The following is a 19,406-nucleotide window of genomic DNA, read 5'->3' on the forward strand; positions in this document are numbered from 1 at the left end:
TGTTCTCTGCTTGAGGATAAAAGCCTGTTGATTTTCCTTTTTGGTAAACTCCTTGATGACTGCAAGAGACCCACAGTGGAAAAGGGGAAGCCCCAAGAATGAAGTCCATGACTCCTGCCAGTCTGCAATGTGGGGTCTCAAACCAGTTCTAGTTAATTGAAAATGTGATATTATTTGCATCCCTCCTGGCTGGAGCAGTTTATACATACAGTACCATATTACTTTTTAATTTTGTTACATAGTGTCCAAAGCATATGCCTTGCATAATTTTTATTTTTGATACTTATTCCTTGTGTTATTTTGTGAAGTTTTGTAAATGTTTTCATAAACTCTAAACATTTTCCGTTGATTTTTTTCCCCTAATTCCAGAAGTAATCCCTGTAAATTATAGAAAAGTTTAAGAGATAAAAGCACAAAGGAGAAAATGAATCTTTTATGATATAATTTTTAATAACCATAAATATTATTTGTGCACATATATTTGATTGTTTCCCAATGTTGGACATTTTAGGGTGTTTTCAATATTTTCTTCTTTTTTTTTGAGATGGAGTTTTGCTCTTCTTGCCCAGGTTGGAGTGCAATGGCACAATCTTGGCTCACTGCAACCTCTGCCTCCCGGGTTCAAGCAATTCTGCTGCCTCAGCCTCCCAAGTAGCTGAGATTACAGGCATGTGCCACCACGCCCGGCTGATTTTTGTATTTTTAGTAGAGGTGGGGTTTCACCATGTTGGTCAGGCTGGTCTCAAACTCCTGACCTCAGGTGATCCACGCACCTCGGCCTCCCAAAGTACTTGGATTACAGGCATGAGCCACTGCACCCGGCCAATATTTTCTTCTTATAACTAATATTGAAATGGACTGCACATTCTTAATTATTTATTTAAGATAAATCCAAGTAATGGAATAACTGAGTCAAAAGGTATATCCATCTTTAAACATTTGTTACGTATTCCTAAATTGCTTTCCAAAAAGTTGCATCAATTAACTATCTCACTATCTCAGCAGCAGTGATTGGGAGTGGCTGTTTTTGGCACCTTGCCAACATCAGGTACTGTCTTTTTTTTTTTTTTTTTTTTTCCTGGGTTGAGATGATGAGTTTATTGGCACAGTCAATATTCACATATTCATACTTTGGCTTCTTCAGACACCTTGAACTTTGGGACTAGACTTTATACAGAGTCAAACACCACGTAGAAGCACGTGGGCCCCACGAGCAACACTCCTGCTTCTTAGTGAGGGAGACAAGCTACCCATGTCTCATGATCAAAGTACTTTTTAATTCTTACATAGAAACCTTAATTTGCTCTGGCCTCCAAAAGACTTTAATCCTGGCCTCCAAATTCGTCTCAAGGGATGTTCTCTTCACCTGGGGCTGGTTTAAACAGAGGCCGCCTCACCAGAGCAGCCTTTCAGTCCTTCAGGAGTCTCTATCCCATGATACGTACATGTAGGTTTGTGCAGGCAGGGAACACACATGACAGAGAACTGCTTTGGTGGTACTGGATGGGTGGTGTTTCTTCACTGGATTTTGGTGACTGTTTCACAGATGGAGGTGGCCACATAATCTAGATTTTATGTGGTTAAGCCACACATGTTGATTCGACCACTCGGCAGCAAATAGATGGTTTTTTTGTCTGATTTTAGGTATTGTCATTTATTAAATGCCATTATGTAAAGCAGGTCACTGTCAGCTCTGATCTGGATGACATCTAATGGCCTCTTAATGGTGCCCCAGTCAACACACTCCTCACTTCAATGAACTCTTCATGCTCTACCCAAAGTGTTTCTTCTAACTTGTGAATCTGATCCCTTCCCTGTTTGAAATCTTTTAATAGCTTCTATAACCCATAGAATGAGGCCTCAGTGTCTTTACGGTTCATGAGGTTCTTCATGTCCCAGTTCTACCTGTTCCTTTGGGGTCTTCTCTATCATCTCATCACCTGCCTCTATGCCCCAGGCATACTGAACTTATTTCTGTTTTTAGGAGTTACTCATTTTCTCTGTTGGTCTCTGTCTCTTCCTCTCTCTCTGCCTCCTGATATCTGCGCCATACAAGTTCTTGAGGTTGGACCATTCACTTTCTTCCTCTAACTCTAGCTAACCGCCTTCTCTTCCATCAGTGAAGAGCATTTGGACTTTGTCAGAGCTGAGATGCTGAGACTGGCGTCTGGCGCTAGGCAACACCGCCCCCTTGAGGAGCTCTGCATGCTCTGAGCCAACCAGCTGGCTATCTCCTGGAATGCTTGCAGAACATAACTGATGGCTATTTAGGGATCCTGATGCCAGCCATATCCCAATGATCTCTTCAAATGTTGCCTCTGCCTCATCCACTCTCCTCTTGATTCTTCTGGGATTTCAAAAAGCCTGTTAGACCTCCTCCGTGGATCCTCAGGGTCTCTGACTCTGTCTTTTGTATTTTCTATCTCTTTGTTTCTCTGTGTTGCATTCTAATAGTTTCTTCTCTCCCATCTTCCAGTTTGCCAATTCTCTCTCCAGCCATGTATAATGTACTATTAAGTCATCTTGTAGCAAGCTATTGATTTTGGTTATTGCATTTTAAAATTTTAGAATTTCTATTTGGTTCTTTTTCAGCTCCATCATGCTACTTTTAAATATATATTCCAGGTCTCTACTAAAACTTTTAAGCCTCTGTATTATTTCTATAAACATAGCATAGTTGTTGTATAGTTTGCATATGATAATCTTAGTGGTAGGTCTTTGTGTATCTATTTCTGTTGTTTGGTCTTTCTGCTCTTTTTTGCATATAGCATTTGGTTTCTGAGTGCACCTGGTTATCTTTCACTATGCATTCATTGTAGTGTTTGAAAAGTTGTTTGTGGTAGTGATATGAAGCCTAAGGTGAGGACATGTTCATCCTGAGAGCATTTTCATTTGTTTCTGCTAGGTGCTTAGAGGTGCTATTAGCCTAGGCCTTCCTTAATCTAAGTTCAATTCTTGAGCTTCCCTTGGCCACCGAGGCACGGTAAAACCAGGCTGCAGGTCACTGTGGGATTTTTCTTCCAATTCACTTTGTTCTGAGGCTGTGTCCTTCTGGGTACCTGGAGAGGGGATGTCCTACCACCGTACCTATTTTTGGTGGGCTCTGCATTTTGTCTTTGTCTTCTTGGGTTTGGGAATTTGCCAGATTAAGTTTTCAACTGTATCTTTGGATCAACAAATGAAATACACTCAGAATAAAGGCAGTGGGCTTACCTCTGAGCACTGGGCTTACCTCTCTAGGTTCTTAACCTCTCTTAGATTAGAGCTCAGTAATTTCTCACTAGTGTGTTTTGATGTTTGATGCTTTAAAAGGTAATCCAGATTTTTTAGTTATCCTAGGAAGCTGGATTGATCCTAATCACTTTACTTTCCATGCCAGAGGTGGAAATAGCTATTTCCTATTTTCCTTGGCTCTAGGAATGCCAAGGGAGAAAATTTTAGCTCTGGGTTGCAGTTCAGATATGAAAAGATCTCTCTGGACTGTATATATGCACTCTGAGGCTGAAAGAGGCCAAGCCAGAAGGAGAAACCAAAGCCCCTTTTCAGCTCCTTAGATGGATGGCAGGGTATGTGCACAGTACCCTGTCTGGCGGTCATTTGTCTGGAGCACTTCTCTTGTGCTAAGGCAGGTTGTGTCCCTGTCTCCACTACTTGGCTTTCAGATACTGTAACAGAGCTAGGGCATGACAATCTGCAACTCCCAGAATGCACTTCTACCAGGGTTCTTCTGGTCACTGGCCCTATCCACAGCCCTTGATTTTAGAAAGCACATTTCCTGGCATGCAATGCACCTCTGTCAGTCCCCAGCCCCAATCTTGCTTCTTTTTTAATTGTGTTCTGACAATCTCTGACTGAATGTAGAAAATGGGATGAAAGGAGAGGAAAGGAGGAAAAAAGTGCTGGCTGCCCATTTTTCTTGTTGGTCCAGACCTTGAGTCAGGGTCAGGCTGAATAATGGCCCCCCAAAGATGTCCACTGTCCACATCTTAATCCTGGGAGTTGTGACTGTGTTACCATATGTGACACTTGCTGCTCTGATTAAGTTAATGATGTTGGTGGGAGGCTGGCTTGAGCCCAGGAGTTCAAGACCAGCTGGCACAACATGGCAAAAACCCATCCCTACAAAAAAAACAAAAAAACAAAAAACCGGAGAAATTAGCCAGGTGTGGCAGTGCATCCCTGTGGTCCCAGCTACTCAGGAGGCTAAAGTGGAAGGATCATTTGAGCCTGGGAAGTTGAGGCTGCAGTGAGCTGTGATCATGCCCCTGCATTCCAGCCTGGGTGACAGAATGAGAAAAAAATAAATAAATGAAAAAGAATCAAAAAAAGTTAATCATGTTGAAATGAGGAGCATATTCTACATTATTCAGGTGGTCCCAATGTAAACATGAAGGTTCTTAGGAGAGGGAGGCAACAGGAGGGTCCTTAGGAGAGGGAGGCAAGGTGTCAGAGTCAGAGAGGAAGGTGTGATGACAAGCAGAGGCTGGGGTGATGGGAGGGACTCCGAGGCAAGGATTGCAGGTGGCCTCTAGAAGCTGGAAAAGGTGAAGACACGGATTCTCCCTTGGAACTCCAGAAGGAATGCAACCCTGCTGACACCTTGATTTTAGGATATCTGACATCTAGGACTGTAAGATAAATTTGTCTTGTTTTAAACCACAAAGTTTGTAGTACTTTGTAACAGCAGCAATAGAAAATGAATGCAGGCAGACCATTGATATATCATCCAGTTTTATAACTCCTGTAATTAGGGGAAATGATTCTCAGATTGTAGAAACAGGTCAATGGTCTCAACAAAACCCATCATGACTTTTGGGTGAGGTTGAGTTTTGTCTTTTTCTGTGCCTTTTATACTGCTGCTTCTTCCTTTTGTGTGTTCCTTATTTGATTTCACATAGGCATCTTATCACAATGTGGTAACTGCCCTGGATTTCTGATATATTCTTTCTGAGCAGAAAAGAGTCACTTCCTTTTCACAGTGATGAGGCAGGTTATTTATCCCCATCCAGTTCATGTCAGTTGTGCATTTCCTGTGTTAAGTCCAGTGTTAATCACCGGCCCAAATTTTGAAAGTCCCCATGGGGAAATAAAATGAAATAGAAAGGCCGGGTGTAATGGCTCATGCCTGTAATCCCAGCACATTGGGAGGCTGAGGCAGGAGGATGGTTTGAGCCCAGAAGTTCAAGCCCAGCCTGGGCAACATGGGGAAACACTGTCCCTACAAATAAATAAGTAAATAAATTGGCCAAGCGTGGTGGGACATACCTGTAGTCCCAGCTACTTGGGAAGATGAGGTGGGAGGATCACCTGAGCCTGGGAGGTCAAGGCTGCAGTGAGCCATGATTACACCATTGCATTCTAGCCTGGGCAGCAGAGTGAGACCCTCTGTCTCTCTCAAAAAGAGTAAAATGCAGTAAATATTCCACCTACTTCAAATACTCCATTGAAGATGCCTTCAGTGTTTTAGATTATGGCCTAGGCATTTAAAACAGGCTTTTGACAGTGCTAGGAAAAGGCAGCGTGACATGGCAGGCAGAAGACGAGCAGCCCCTTCATCTCCCTGTGCTCCTGCTGCTCTTTCAGGAAGTGGGGATTGATGATTTTGAAATTTATTTTACATTTTATCTATTTACATAAACTTGGAGCCATGAGAACAGAAAGCACAGTCCTTGCTTTTGCTCTTGCATTCATCAGGGGAGACAAGCGGCTCAAGAAATAATTATCATGCAGCATGTTCAAATTGCTATGGGACAATGATGACATGAGCATGTAACTGAACCAGGAGGAGCTGGTAATGGCATGCATTAATTCATACTACTCCATGCAAGCACTGTGTCAGTTGCTGGATGATTCTTCACCTTGTGAATGATATGAAGCTGTGGAAGGAAATTTGTTTGAAACCCTAGGCCACACGTGCTCAGGACTCCCTCACCTCCACCCCAGAGGTGTCCCTGCTTGTTTTGAAGTGATGACACATCTGTAGGGCAGCCACCCCTCTGGGCTTAGGAAAGACCCTATGCCTTAGTCTCTGAGGCTTTGCAATCCTCCCCCTCAAAAACCGTGCTGTTTTCAAACTCTGTTGAGCCTCAATGATGGGTTTGGGGTGACAGTGTAACCTGAAGCCCAGAACAGACTTGAGTATGTATCTCTGAGGTTCAGACATTGTCCATCTAAGGAGTCAGCCCACCTTTTCATAGTCTTCCTTTGATTGCCCCCTTCTTTTCCTACATACTTGTGTTCAAATTCACAGACAGAAAGTTTGGAGCTCCTAGATATAACTTTATTTTTTTGTGCTTGAACCCAGCGTAGCTCTCAGAGACTCCCTTTCTAGCCTGTGGTAGAAAAGCTAATCTTGCTAGTTCAAGGTCATTCTATCAATTCTGGTTTAGACTGTATGTGTCTTTGGGTCCAATACTCAGGCAATCTCTGCATTCTTCTTTTCCTCTCCTGCCCAGCAGTCATCTAAGCTCCAAGGGGTTTGGGCATCACCAAACATCATTATCTGTGGTGTCAGGGAAAAGGCATTGGTTCTTCATGGGCTCTTGTCCCCAGGCACCCACAATGGATGCCACATATCCTTTCTCTTCGTGAGGACAGTCTTGGCCATTGCTGTGGGAGCTGGGCTTCTCTACTGACCATGCATCCACTTGGCTCCAGCCACAGTGATTTCCCACTGTGCTGTCCACCACCTGGCTCAGCTATGGGGTCTGCGTACCTTGTCCTTCACCATCCTCTTGGCCAACCCTGCGCTCTCCAGAGCCACCTTCCATACCTCTACTTGGGTGTGTGGAAAGTCCAGGTTTCCTCTGCCCTATGGGAGCCAAGGAAGGCCTGGAGCTGTGGCAGGGCTGGCTCAGATCCTCCTTTGCTAAACTCACCACACTGCCTTTTCTGACCTCCCCTGGCCATCCTGTGTGGATGTGAGGTGTGTTTTGCATCTGTCTCCTCCTACAGTTGCAGGCAGCATGCACTGGGCACAAAGACCCTCTATTCCAAGCATAAATCTCGAAGCATATCCAGGATTTTATTACCATCTTTATCTTCCACTCAGTTTCAACACTGAGGTGAAGGCAAAGGGTAATTGCCACACTAGCATTTAAACTTTCTTGCTTTCATTTTCCAGTTTCATCCAAGATTTTTTTTTCTCAGCCCACAAAAGGATTGTATTCTTCCTTGCTCTCTGGTTTCTCGAAATCACTCTAGGCAGGGTTGGAAAACTATGATTTGTGTGCCAAATCTGGCTACAGCCTGTTTTTGTAAATGAAGTTCTATTGGAACAGTCACACCCATTTGTTTACTTACTGTCTGTGAGCTGCCTGCTACAGAATTGAGTAATTGAGATAAGGACTACAGGGTCTGCAAAGCCTAAAATATTTACTATTTGGCCCTTTACAGAAAAAGTTTGCCCACCTCTGCTCCAGGCTCTGAATCCTCTAGGTTTGACACTAGATATTTACGGCTAAGATTTTTGAATCCAAAGAAATCTACTTCTCCCCAGCTTCCACCCTGGTCCTTGGTTTTGCGACGGAAAGCCATGGTGACTTCAAGACACTTTAGGAACTCAAAGCCAGCTGTCCTCATGGGATTCATTTGTGTCTTCCCTTTCCTAGCACAGCAAGTCTGGTTTGGTTTTAATAAGAAGGGTCCCATGATGCTTTCCTTCTGGTTTTCTGCTGGTGGCCTCTGTGGCTGTATCCCCAGGCAGATGCCTGGCCAGGTCTGGGGCACTGAACTCTCCAAACCCCTGCAAGTGGAGCGTTTTTCCCCAAGGTAAGCAAAGAGACCTTGGCTCCTATGGAGCTGGTTTTGGCCAGATTCACCAAAATGCAAGAATCACTGAATGTTTGAGCTGGAAAAGATGATCATACCCAGCATCTTTTTCACTGACCCCCTTGTCCCTGACTTGGTTTAACAATGGAGACAAGACCTGGGGAGGGTAATGAGGAAAAATGAGGAGTGGCCTGGTCAACAGCACACAGCCTAATTTGCGGGCCATTTGCTCCCCCTCCAATTGCCTGTGCCTGGGCTGAAACATACCCAGCGAGAGCAGCACAGCTCCGGGCACCCCATGGTGTGAGCCTGACGGAGCCTAGCTTCCCTAGCTAGATGCTCCCACTCATGCGACGGCCAGGGGCTCAGCTGAGTAGCATGAGTTCACACAATAGGCAACAGGACAGGCCCACCGATGACCTGCAGCTCCCGGGTCCCTGGATTCTGTGTTCCTGAAATTTCCCTGTCTTTTTTATTTTACTCGTTTCTCAGATCTCTGGTTTAGGGAAGAAAAAAGATGAAAGTTACAGTAGGACTACAAAGATACAACTGGGATGGAGGGTTTGGGGTGAAAGAATGTTGATTGCAAAGGACCATTGGCCACGGTCACACCACCCACCCCAGCCAGCCTCTTCTTTCTTCTTTTTCCCTTGGAAATTGCTTCTTAGATAGTGACCGCTATTAATGACAACACTGGTTGTATTGCCTAAAGGAATGTAATGTATTAATCATAGCTAATATCATTAGCACTTACCATTTACGGGGCAAATCTGAACATGCACGAACCTGGTTAAAGTTAATGGCTCTCTGCTATCTGCTGGCTCCAGCCCCTACTCCTTACGTGGTTATGATGGTCCATGCCAAGCTCTCCCACCTCCTCTCTAGTTATGCCCCCTTCAAATTCTCTGCTTCAATCATATTTTAGCTCTTTGACTTAAAAAAAAAATGCCTGAAGTATACTTATTCTCTTTTGCCAGTGAACCTTTGAACATAACATTTTCTCTACCCACCTCCTGCACTCACACATTGACCTACACCCCAATTCCTCTTTGCCTAATTCCTTCCTATTCCTCAGATTGCAGCTTAGCCATAACGTCCTCCTGGAAGCCTTTCCCAAAGGAGGACTTCCACGTCCTGGGACTTCCATGACATGCCCCTTATCGTACATGCCCACAATGATCTCTTCACTTCTTTGCAAGCCTCCTTAGGCCAGGGCTTTGCCCAGGTGCTTAGTCCTTTGGAGGAATTTAATAAATATTTGTAGAATAAATGAATGAACCAATGTCTGAACAAATGGAGGTTTTGCTAACCCCTTTTGTAGAGCTCTTACATGGCTTGCCTAAAGTCAGCCACATAACAGGGAGCAGAGTTAGGACTCAAAAGCAGGCTTACCAATTCCACGTCTGGTGCTCTTTCTAGTATCTTATAAGGCCTGACATAAGCCTGGCTATTCAAAGGGATTAAGGGAAATCTAAATAAATAATTAGAGTAATGTCTGGGAGAAAACACACGAGGAAGAAATCATGATTATTTCTGGGAGAGGGAGGAGTGCTCTTAGGGAGAAGTTTTTGTGAGCTTATGCAATGGCCATGTCTCCAACCATGCTCTCTTCAACTTCTGAGTTAGGGGGACTGGGAGTGGGGGACTGGAACATATCTGTAATTTCTTTTTTTTTAAATGAGGAGAATATATTCATGTATTCTTTGAATAATTAAAAACTAATTTAAAAAATGAGCACTGCCAAGGGATTTTTCTGTACTGCACTCTTCAGCTGATGAATTTTTACATTAAACGATTTGAAATGCTGTTTTTTTTTTTTGCTGCTTATTCCAAAAAGAAAGGAAAAAAGAAACAAAAGAAAAAACAAAAAAGGAAAGCATGAAAACAACCAAAATACTTTTGCTCCAATTTTCAGAGATGCTTACCGCTGCACTCATTGAATGCAAAACTAATTGAATAGAGAAGATGGACTGCAGTGACTGAAGTGTGACAATGACTAGACTACTTAATTTGTTGTTTTCTTCCAATTTATGACTCTTCGTCACAGACTATTTGTCTTTGATGCTATTTCTAGTCATAAAGCATCTGGTCTGTATAATTAAGGGGAGCTGAGAAAATGTAATTAGCCAAACATGCAGGAAGGAGATGGCAAATCTTCTTCATGACAGAAATGTAGCCCAGACCATATTCCTTCTCGGATAAAGACATTATTCACTGACTCAGGTGGGATGGTTCCCACAGTGAATTGCTGCATTCCCTGAAGACCGTCCTCTATCGCTCCCTCTAGTGGCTGATCTGTTTTAAAAACCCGCTTGTACACGCTGTTCCTTCACCCCAGCTCCATTCCCCATTCTGGGTAAATGTATAAAAATCCATATCTGTTGGCTTAGAAATGCCCCTGGCAGACGTATATGAGCATGGCCTAAGGTCCGGCTCAAAAGTCAATGCCATCTGGACTGACAGGAAGAATGTCAGAGGAAGAACGCAGAGCAACAAAAGCAGCAACTTCCAAATAACCAAGAACCCCCAGCAGGTGTACACCATGCCATCCTCTAGAAAGGACGAGGTGGTAATGTGAACACACATGTCCAGACTCCAGTGCCCCTCAGACAAGCCCCATGCCGAGTGTCGCAGCTGAGCATCTGTACATGGAACGGATTATTTGATTGCATGTTATGGGATTATCAGGTATGGGTATTATCAGGATGGGGTTGTAATAGGGAAAGAATGTTACAGCTACAAGAGAGTGGACAGGTTCTTATGTAAGGACATACGTGGAGCCTGAAGAGTTAAGGCTTTCTAAGTCATTCTGTTGAAACTAATCCTTGGACGTGTTTTGTCAAGTGGTGAATAAGGCTGATCTGAAACAACAGCAACAAAATACAAACCAAATGTTCCCATCAGGCCTGACTATAACCTGTGGCTGCAAATGGGGCCACCATAAGAACAATAACCCACATTTCATTACCCCACCTGCTGAGTAAAATACTGGTAAGCACAGGACATCTGGGTCATAGACTGTGGGTTCAAAGCTGAGACCCAGCTCTCCCCTGTGTGGAACCTTGGGTAAGTTGCTCAATCTCCCTGCGCTTGATTATTCATCTGGGCAATGTAATGATGTCTATTGTATAAGCTGATGGTGAGGATTAAATAGTGAGTGCAGGTAAAGAGCCTCAGATAGGACCGTGCCCATGCAGACTGAGTAACTGATCTTTGTTACTACTGTACTCATGTTTACCATGTCCTCCTGGGTCCCCAGGCTGTGTCTCCTATTTGCTCACAAACAAGTGGCATCTGCCATGATCACTCGGTTCCCTGATCTCCTGTGGTCCTGCCTACAGAGTAGGTAATGGACCTCTTCACTGCTTTTAGGGCCCACCATCATGCTTGACATCTCCTGGGGTGACTGGTAGACTCACCTCCACCCTCCCTCTTCTGGCTCGCTCCCGTGGTCCTAACTGATCTATATGACCCCAGTCCTCACCATGAGAAGTTAATTTTGGAGTTGGCCCTTGATTTGTGCTGTGCCAAGCAATATGGGTCTGCTGTGAATCTGCAGCCTGGAAGAAACAGACTCAGAAGTTGACGGTAGCTGGAGAAGTTTTTGTGAGCTTATGCAATGGCCACATCTCCAACCATGCTCTCCCCAACTTCTGAGTCAGCTCCTGTTTCTTAGAGAGCTGGAGGGTGGATGCTTGCCCCATTCAGTGCACCTTTCCCCTTCTCTACCCTTGGTCCTTAATGAGGATTTGTGCATCAAAGCACAGCGTTCTCTACCACTCCCTTTAAGTGGTAGGTGGCAAATACCTGTCTTGTATTTCTTCCCAAGCTGGAAGTAGGTTTTTGCTTGTAAAGCTGGAGCAGGGAGAAGAGTTACTATCTGGAGAGAATGGAAAACATCTGCAAAATGAACAAATCTCCTGTTTTCCGTGGCACTGGGCATTAAACAGTGTCACAGATGGCTTCACTAGGGGATTATGGACAACATGAAGAGATCCAAACATGTCTGTTTATTTACCCCTTCTCTTGAGAACAGCAATTGTGGGATCAATTGGGAGGCAAAATGGTATAAGAAAAGAACTCTGGCTTTGGAGTCCAGACAAATCCAGCTTCAAAACCTTGTGCCTTAATATACGTTTCTATGATGATTTAGTTGACCTCTGAGCCTCAGTTCCCTTGTCTGTATAATCAAGATGGCAGTGCAATATTATGCAGGGTTTCTTAAGTTACAAGTGACTAAAACCCAACTTGAACTTGTTTAATCCATAAAAAGGGAATCTATTAGCTCATGTGACCCAGCCAAGAAAAAGCCTAGCCTCAGAGTTGGCTGGACTCAGGGACTGGATCCCTACCAGGTAAAGTTCTTGTCTTTGCTTACCTCTGGAAAGGTAATTTTCATAATAAATAGCAATAAAAGTGGTAATAATAAAAGGGTTTTATTCTCTCCTTTTGAAGATGGGCTGCATTCACTGGTGAGGAACATGTTCTAGGCTCAAATCTTTCCAGATGGAGACCTCTGTAGACATTTCCAAGAAATGACTCTGATTCCTTAGCCACAGACTCTTGCCCAGTTTAGGCCAATCACAGGCCAGTGGGAGGAGGTACTACACGTGGCTCAGCCTGCATCATGGGACAGCCCTGTGGGCCGGTAGTGGCATAGTGAGGCTTTGGGGAAATCACTACAAGTTGTCCCAACCTGTCCACTCCCTCACAGCACTTTTGTGATTTGAAGGAAGCCACACAGTCACATAGCTCCTCGAATAGTCTCTGTGGTGATTTTCCTCCTAGAGGAAGCTTTGGGGAGAATGTGGGCACCTCAGCCTCTCTGTTCCTTTGACCCTTCAGACTCATTAAGTGCAGTGTGGTTCTTACAGTTCTCTCCGTGTAGCTTCCTGACTCACTGCATCTGCAGATGGCCCCACCCCAGACCTGAAGCATGGCAGCGCCTTTGGTATCTCCAGGGCTCCCACAGCCAACGTGTCTTCTACCACAGGCATGCAGCTCTTTTTCTGCATCCTGTTTCATCCCTGTGGCTGTCACTGTGGTCTGTTACCTCACAGCCTCCTAAACAGGGGCCAGCTCTGATCACATTGGTCTGCTGCTTCCAAGTGACAGTGGCTCTCCATTATCTCTCAAATTAGTGGGAGACTCCAGGGCTTGGCATTCAAGGACTGCCACGATCTTATCCCAAACAACTTCCAAGCCACTCTTGCGGGCATTGGGTGTTTAGATCCTGCTACTGTAGGACAAACAAGTAGGAAAGCCTTTGGGGACCAGTGTAAGGAAATGAGCAGGAAGGAGTGAGACTGGCTGGTGGCAGGTTGCTAGGCAGCCATACAGCAAGAAAAGCAACCTGCATGAGGCAGATGATCCTAGAAGCCAGTGAGCACTCCCGCATTCTTTGATGTTTGTTTTAGCTAAGATCAGCCAACTTAGGGTACTAACCAATGGAATTTTGTGAACCCATTTAACTCTGATATTTAATATGTTGAGGCTCAAGACATTTTTCCCTCTTTGGTGGTGAAAAAACCCATAAACTACTATTGTTTTTACTGGGGAATGTGTATGGGCGATTGGTGGGAGTGGTGTAGAGTGGGAGAGATTTCCCAAGTAGCAAAAAAGAAGACTAAAATGAAAGCCATTATTCTGCTTTTCAGAACTAGTTGCTTTTATTTCATGATGGTTGCCTGGAGACTTTGTTTATATGTATTTATAAAGAAATAAATGCTGAACTTAGGCCTAGAAATCCAAATGAAAAACATGTCATTCTCAGCTTTGAGATGTGGAGTGTTTGCTCTACGAGGATAAGAGGCCATGCTTGCCTGAATTCTTCTAATTTAAGACTCTCTTTTTAATCTGCTGATGAAGTTTTACATATGTATACACACACATATATATACTCCTCCCAAACACACACACACATATTTTAAACATTTTAAGTTGTCTTTTAAATGAACAATTACTTATTGCCAACAGGAACTCATTTCATCTTAGGAATGCTAGCAAATACTCCTGGCACCTAAGCATGATTAATATAGAGAGGAACATATGAGACACAATGCAAGGGTGGCTGATAATCCAGTTCCTGCTTGTCACAGGCCTTGGCTCAGCTCAGCTGGTCATGCAGATGAAGGCCGAGGAGATGGGCAGCAACCAGAAGGGCTCCAGGGTTGGCATCTGTGCATCAGACGACTCATAGGTCAAAACCAGGTTTTTCAAACCCTGCTCTGGCTAAAAAAAGTCCCAATTTCCCTGTGCCTCACATCCTGTTCTGTTTTCATGGAAAAAAAAATTCAAAAGAAAAGCACATTGGTTGATTTCCCAGACTTGCTCTTTTTTTATTTCCTGGTTCTGAAAATTTTCTTTTTCACTCTTACTTTTATAAGCCTGCAATTAATTCAGCATTTGAAATGTGAGCTTCTGAAACAAACTCCCATGAATGCTGCATAACCATGTTTGGTTTTGCTTTTCTCTTAAACTCCCCTTCTGGTTTTTGTTAACATTAAAAACACACACACACACAAAAGATAGACGGGGACTGGGGCAGGGATTTTCCAATGTGTTTTCAGAACAACCACTTATAGTCAAACATCAGCAAGGCCAGTTATTCTAATATTGCAGTAATGACTTCCAGGCACCAAAAAAGAAGGCATGTTGCAATAACTTTAAGACAAATTGCTGATAACATAATCATTGTCTTTTCCTCCTAGAGAAGTAAGAATTTTCCAAGCACTCTTAAGGACTGTAAGCTTTTCTGTGCCCTTACAAATCATCAAACTTTAATCCTCATTAGATACTGGTCAATATTTCCAGAGGAGAGGAAGTGCCACATGACTTTAAGTATCAAGCTTATGATTACCAACAAAGGAAAACTACATACATTACATGAGTGGTAGCTGCACCGTATGCCTGGACTATAGCATGCATGTTCACCTACTCATTCATTCATTCATCCCACAGTTCTAATCAGCAATTAACATAAACAGGATTCCTGTTCTAATCGATTTTTCAGGCTGATGTGGGAGGCGATAGGAGAATGTAGATAGACATTGAATAAGTATTTACAAGTGCACTTAGTTTTACAGAGAAGGGAACAGTTCTCTATGTGATAGAACTAGCCTAGTCTAGGAGCATGTGAAAGATTGCTGCAGAGAAGGCCACCAGCCTTTTCTCCCAACCCTCTAAGCACCTGCCACTCCAAGAGATGGGTCTATTTCCCCTCCCCTTGAACCTGAACTGGCCCTGTGATTTGCTTTGATCAATAGAATGTGACAGAAAATATACCCTGTGACTTCCAAGCATAGTCATTAAGATGCCTTGTAGCTTCTGTTTTCTCCCCTTGGAAGCCAAACCCATATAAAGAGGTCCAGCTGGAGAAATCTCATAGAAAGAGAATGGGACCCAGTCTGCCATCCCAGCCGAGGTACCAAACATGTGTGTGAAGCCACTTTGGACCCTCCACTTTCAGTTAAGCTGGTCCAGTGCCACATGGAGCAGAAATTAGCTGTCCCCAATCAAACCCAACTACACTGCAGATTCATGAGCAAATGAGTGGTGGTTATTTGAAGCCATTACATTTTGAAGAGGTGTGTTACCCAGCAATTGATAACTGGAACAGAGTCAGGGAGGTTTTCTGGAGGAAGTTCTATTTAAGTTAAGTATTGAAGACTGGGCAGAATTTGACTCTTCAGGAAAGGGTTAATATTCCAGGCAGATGGAGCAGCCTGGGAAGACCCCCAAGGCTGGAGGAACATGGTGCCTTCAAGACCTAGAAGCAGCCTAGTGTGACCAGAATGTAGAGAAGTAGTGAGCATGGAGGCTGGGGTGGTAGACAAGGCTTGTAAATAAGAAAAGAATATAGCTGATACTTTTTGAATGTCAAGTGGATGTCCAGACCTTCATCTGACATAGTTAGCTTAGCAAAAACAAAAGTAAGATCTTTGTTCAGAGGGAGGAAATTCCATGCCATGGATGTTTCTGGCTACTAACACAAAGACATGACTGATTACAAGTAAGGTCTGATGAGAAGGAGAAGATTCATTTATCCAACAAATATCTCTTGAGTACCAGTACCATCCTCATGGGAGAAAGAACTCACAGTGCATTTCTGATAAATATAAGCCAGTGTCATGCACATAAAAAGGCCATGTTTCAGTGGTCTACACATACACACACCCTCTAAAATCAGGAGGGGACTTAGAGTCAGGCAAACATGTGCAGCCTTAGGAAAATCACTGAATTTCACTGAGCTTCATCTGTAACATTGGAATAATAACACTCCCTCCATAGGATTATTGGGAGTCTTAAATGAGAAAAGTCTATGTAAAGCACCTAATGAAATATATGATAGGTGCTCAAAAAGTGACAGCAAATTAAAAGAGAAAATATTGTATGGATATAGTACAGACCAACACCGGGCATATCTTGTTACATAGCAGAAATGGAATTCAATCAATTAAGACAACAGAAAAAGTGCTATTATTTCGCCTTCTTTATTATATTTATTAGGAAACCTATTTTTACCAGTAGATATGGACTATCCTAAAAAAATTATAGTGTAAGTGTGGTTAGCAAAGCCTTCTCCTGAATCCTTTCCTATTCTCAATGGCATGATATGTCAAGAACGTCTTTTGAGCCTGTTTGATCCAGTGATGTTCAAATGTGCAACAAGGAACTTAGTCTGGTGCTTACTATGTGCCTGACCTAAAGTTGTCTAACTTTCCCAGCAATCTCCAGCGATAGGTATTAATTTTCTCATTTTTCATAATTTTCCCATTTTTCTCATTAATTTTGCCCATTTGCAGATGAGCAAAGCAAGGGTCAGAGAAGTTACTGACTTCCCTGGCACTGGGCCCCACAGTCAGAAAGTGCCTCAGAATTCAAATCCAGGTGCACCTGACATCAAAGCCTGTGCTCTTTTTCCTAGGCCAAACCATCTCCTTCCAGGCAGACCTGTGTTTAGATGTGCTGTCACTTCTGAAGGAAGTCATCCGAGCTTAAACTTATGGGATCTCACAAGGGGCCTGCAGTATCTCCTTAAGGACCACCATAAGTCAGCGGCTATTTTTTTTTTAATTGAGATGGGGTCTCACTCTGTCACTCAGGCTGGAGTGCAGTGGTGCAATCTTGGCTCACTGCAGCCTGCACCTCCCAGGCTCAAGCAATCCTCCCACCTCAGCCTCCCAAGTAGCTGAGATCACAGACACGCACCACTGTGTCTGGCTCATTTTTTGTACTTTTGGTGGAGATGTGGTTTTGCTGTGTTGTTCAGGCTGGTCTTAAACTCCTGAGCTCAAGCAGTCTGCCCACCTTGGCCTCCCAAAGTGCTGGGATTACAGGCATAAGCCACTGTGCCCAGCCAGCTATGTTTTCAAAGCAACAAATGTATCAAAGCAGATGAGCCCAGGGAAGGTGAACTGTTCCTTGGGAGGAGTAGCACAATGACTGTAGTCCGCTTATAGTCCGCTTACTGGAGACTGTGCTCAAGAAAAAGCCAAGAGGTAATCTTCGGCAGCTGCTGTGATATCTGCATATTTTAATTTTTTCCATCTATTTAAAGCCTGCCAAGTTGCCTAAGAGTCAATAGAGATGATTTCCAAGGGCTGTTTAGTTCCAGGTTTCTATTAGCTCACAAATTCTGCCATATTGGATTTTAGAGCTGTTCTTTGGAAAGATGGAAATGTTTATGAGCGGAGCTCTGATTCCTCTAATCTTGGGTACAGGCTTATTCATATCTAAGAATGGACTCCTTCTAAGATAATTCAGGCTGAATGACTTCTTCCAAGGAAGGAAGGAAATGGATGTTTATTAAATTTCATTATGTGTCAGGCAGTGGGCTAAGAATTTCCCCTTATGTTGTTAAACTTAAATCTGGCAACCTAGACTATCAAGGCTAACTTTGACCTGAAAGCAATTCAAGACAAATCCCATCTTTATCATTGGTAGCTGTTGTGGAGTAGCAGTGGGTGAGGTGTATAGAGATCCATTCATCCATGCAGCAAAACACTTGACTGGCTTGAGATGTGACATGCGGAGCAAAAGGCAGGACATTGCTCTGGGAGAATTACAGAAAAGGGCCAAGTAAACAGCGAAGTGATCACTTTAGTGCTGTGGTGAGACATGCCCAGGCAAACCCCAGAAAACAAGGGGATAGCCAGCCCTCACTGAGGATGGGAGATGAATGGGCTTTTTTGGGACACCAGGAAGGTGGGTAAAGCCAGGAGGAAGGACAGCAACAGACCCTACAAGAAGGAGCCAGAGAGGTGACGAAAGTAATAGGCATGATACAGACTATAGCTTTCCTAACAGGAACGTGAGACACACAAACATCAGCCCACCTCTTTGATAGAACAGGAAATAATGGCGTCAACAGTTTCCTTTCTGAATACTAAGGACAAAAACGAAATTACATTGCCTGTAATGCAAGGGTTAGTCAGACATAATTTAGTCCCCAAATTAATCCTGAAGTCAAAAAGCTAAAGGAAAGTGGAACAAAAAAGAATCTGAGGCTCAGGGCAGCAGAAGAGGGCTCTTGGAGAAGAGATGACAGTTGGCTGAAGTCGTCAACAGAGGGAGCTGGGAGGCTGCTAACCCCTTTGATTTCAGCAGGGACTGGGCGTCTGCACAGAGCTCCCGGCTCCCCGCGGCGGGGGCAGGAGTCAACGCCGTCAGTTACATGCTCGTCAGATGTGCACGGGCGCCACACACGATCCTGCTAACGTGGTCGGAGAAATATGACCTCAGCGCAGGTGAAGCGTGGGCAGCTGACGCCACGGTGATGTGTGCAGATCCGGTGGGGACTCTGACGCAGCCCCAGGGCAAAACCAACCTGCTTTCTACCTTCAATCCAGCAGGATGCCCGTCATGGAGAAAAAGGCGGGGCCTGCTTGGGAAGACACAGGAAATCCGTCCCTTTTATTTTCTTTATTTTATTCAGTTATATTCATCCCGTCTATAAGTGATCTCTTCTCTCCAGAATCGGCGTTTTCTCTAACAAAGCAAATGTTCTTGTCTTTAAATGGAAAGAAAAATAAGCTAGAAATGTCCCACTGTGGTAACAGTAGGAATGAACTAGGGCCTTAGAGAATCAGCCTAAAATTGGCAGTAGGGCTATAGCTCCCCGGCAGAGGAAGGATAGCTGCGCCTCCCTGGCGAGGGGTCCACGTGGCAGCACAGAGGGGTTAAGTTCCATGAGGGCAGGAACCAACTGTACCCGATTCATCTTATTAACCTCAGCCCTTGGCAAAGTGCCCAGCACATAGTAGGTGCTCAATACTTTAATGATGGCTGAATAAATGACAAATAAATGAATAAAGGCCAAGTCTTCAAGCCAAACAGACCTATATTTAAATTCTGGCCCTTAATTCCTATCAGTGACAGTGTATTGGGCAAATTATTTGACCTCCTCTTGGCCAGAAGTTCTTCAACAACAATGACTGTGCCACACCCATCACTCAGTTCTCAATGTCTGAAAAATAACAGGTGCTCAATAAAATATTTTATATAAATGAGATTCTATGCCTCCATTTGTTCATCTGTAAAAGAGGTACTATAATATTTACTTAGTAGGGTTAACTGTTATGAAGGGTAATGAGATAAAGCATGTAAGTTCCTGGCACATGAGAATCACCGAATAA

At 43.8% G+C, this 19,406-nt stretch overlaps 5 annotated features.

The window, feature by feature from the left end:
• Positions 2,110 to 2,249: a silencer, noted in NCBI's record as "silent region_19364". NCBI's record gives its function as "represses an Ori minimal core promoter by ATAC-STARR-seq in GM12878 lymphoblastoid cells {active_cell/tissue: GM12878}" and the evidence as "EXISTENCE:reporter gene assay evidence [ECO:0000049][PMID:35858748]".
• Positions 12,651 to 12,770: an enhancer, noted in NCBI's record as "active region_27621". NCBI's record gives its function as "activates an Ori minimal core promoter by ATAC-STARR-seq in GM12878 lymphoblastoid cells {active_cell/tissue: GM12878}" and the evidence as "EXISTENCE:reporter gene assay evidence [ECO:0000049][PMID:35858748]".
• Positions 12,841 to 12,890: an enhancer, noted in NCBI's record as "active region_27622". NCBI's record gives its function as "activates an Ori minimal core promoter by ATAC-STARR-seq in GM12878 lymphoblastoid cells {active_cell/tissue: GM12878}" and the evidence as "EXISTENCE:reporter gene assay evidence [ECO:0000049][PMID:35858748]".
• Positions 18,377 to 18,636: an enhancer, noted in NCBI's record as "active region_27623". NCBI's record gives its function as "activates an Ori minimal core promoter by ATAC-STARR-seq in GM12878 lymphoblastoid cells {active_cell/tissue: GM12878}" and the evidence as "EXISTENCE:reporter gene assay evidence [ECO:0000049][PMID:35858748]".
• Positions 18,832 to 19,126: a silencer, noted in NCBI's record as "tiled region #136; K562 Repressive non-DNase unmatched - State 23:Low". NCBI's record gives its function as "represses a minimal TATA promoter and a strong SV40 promoter by Sharpr-MPRA in K562 cells {active_cell/tissue: K562}" and the evidence as "EXISTENCE:reporter gene assay evidence [ECO:0000049][PMID:27701403]".

Source organism: Homo sapiens, chromosome 8, assembly GCF_000001405.40.
Source record: "Homo sapiens chromosome 8, GRCh38.p14 Primary Assembly".
Taxonomy (NCBI): Eukaryota; Metazoa; Chordata; class Mammalia; order Primates; family Hominidae; genus Homo; species Homo sapiens.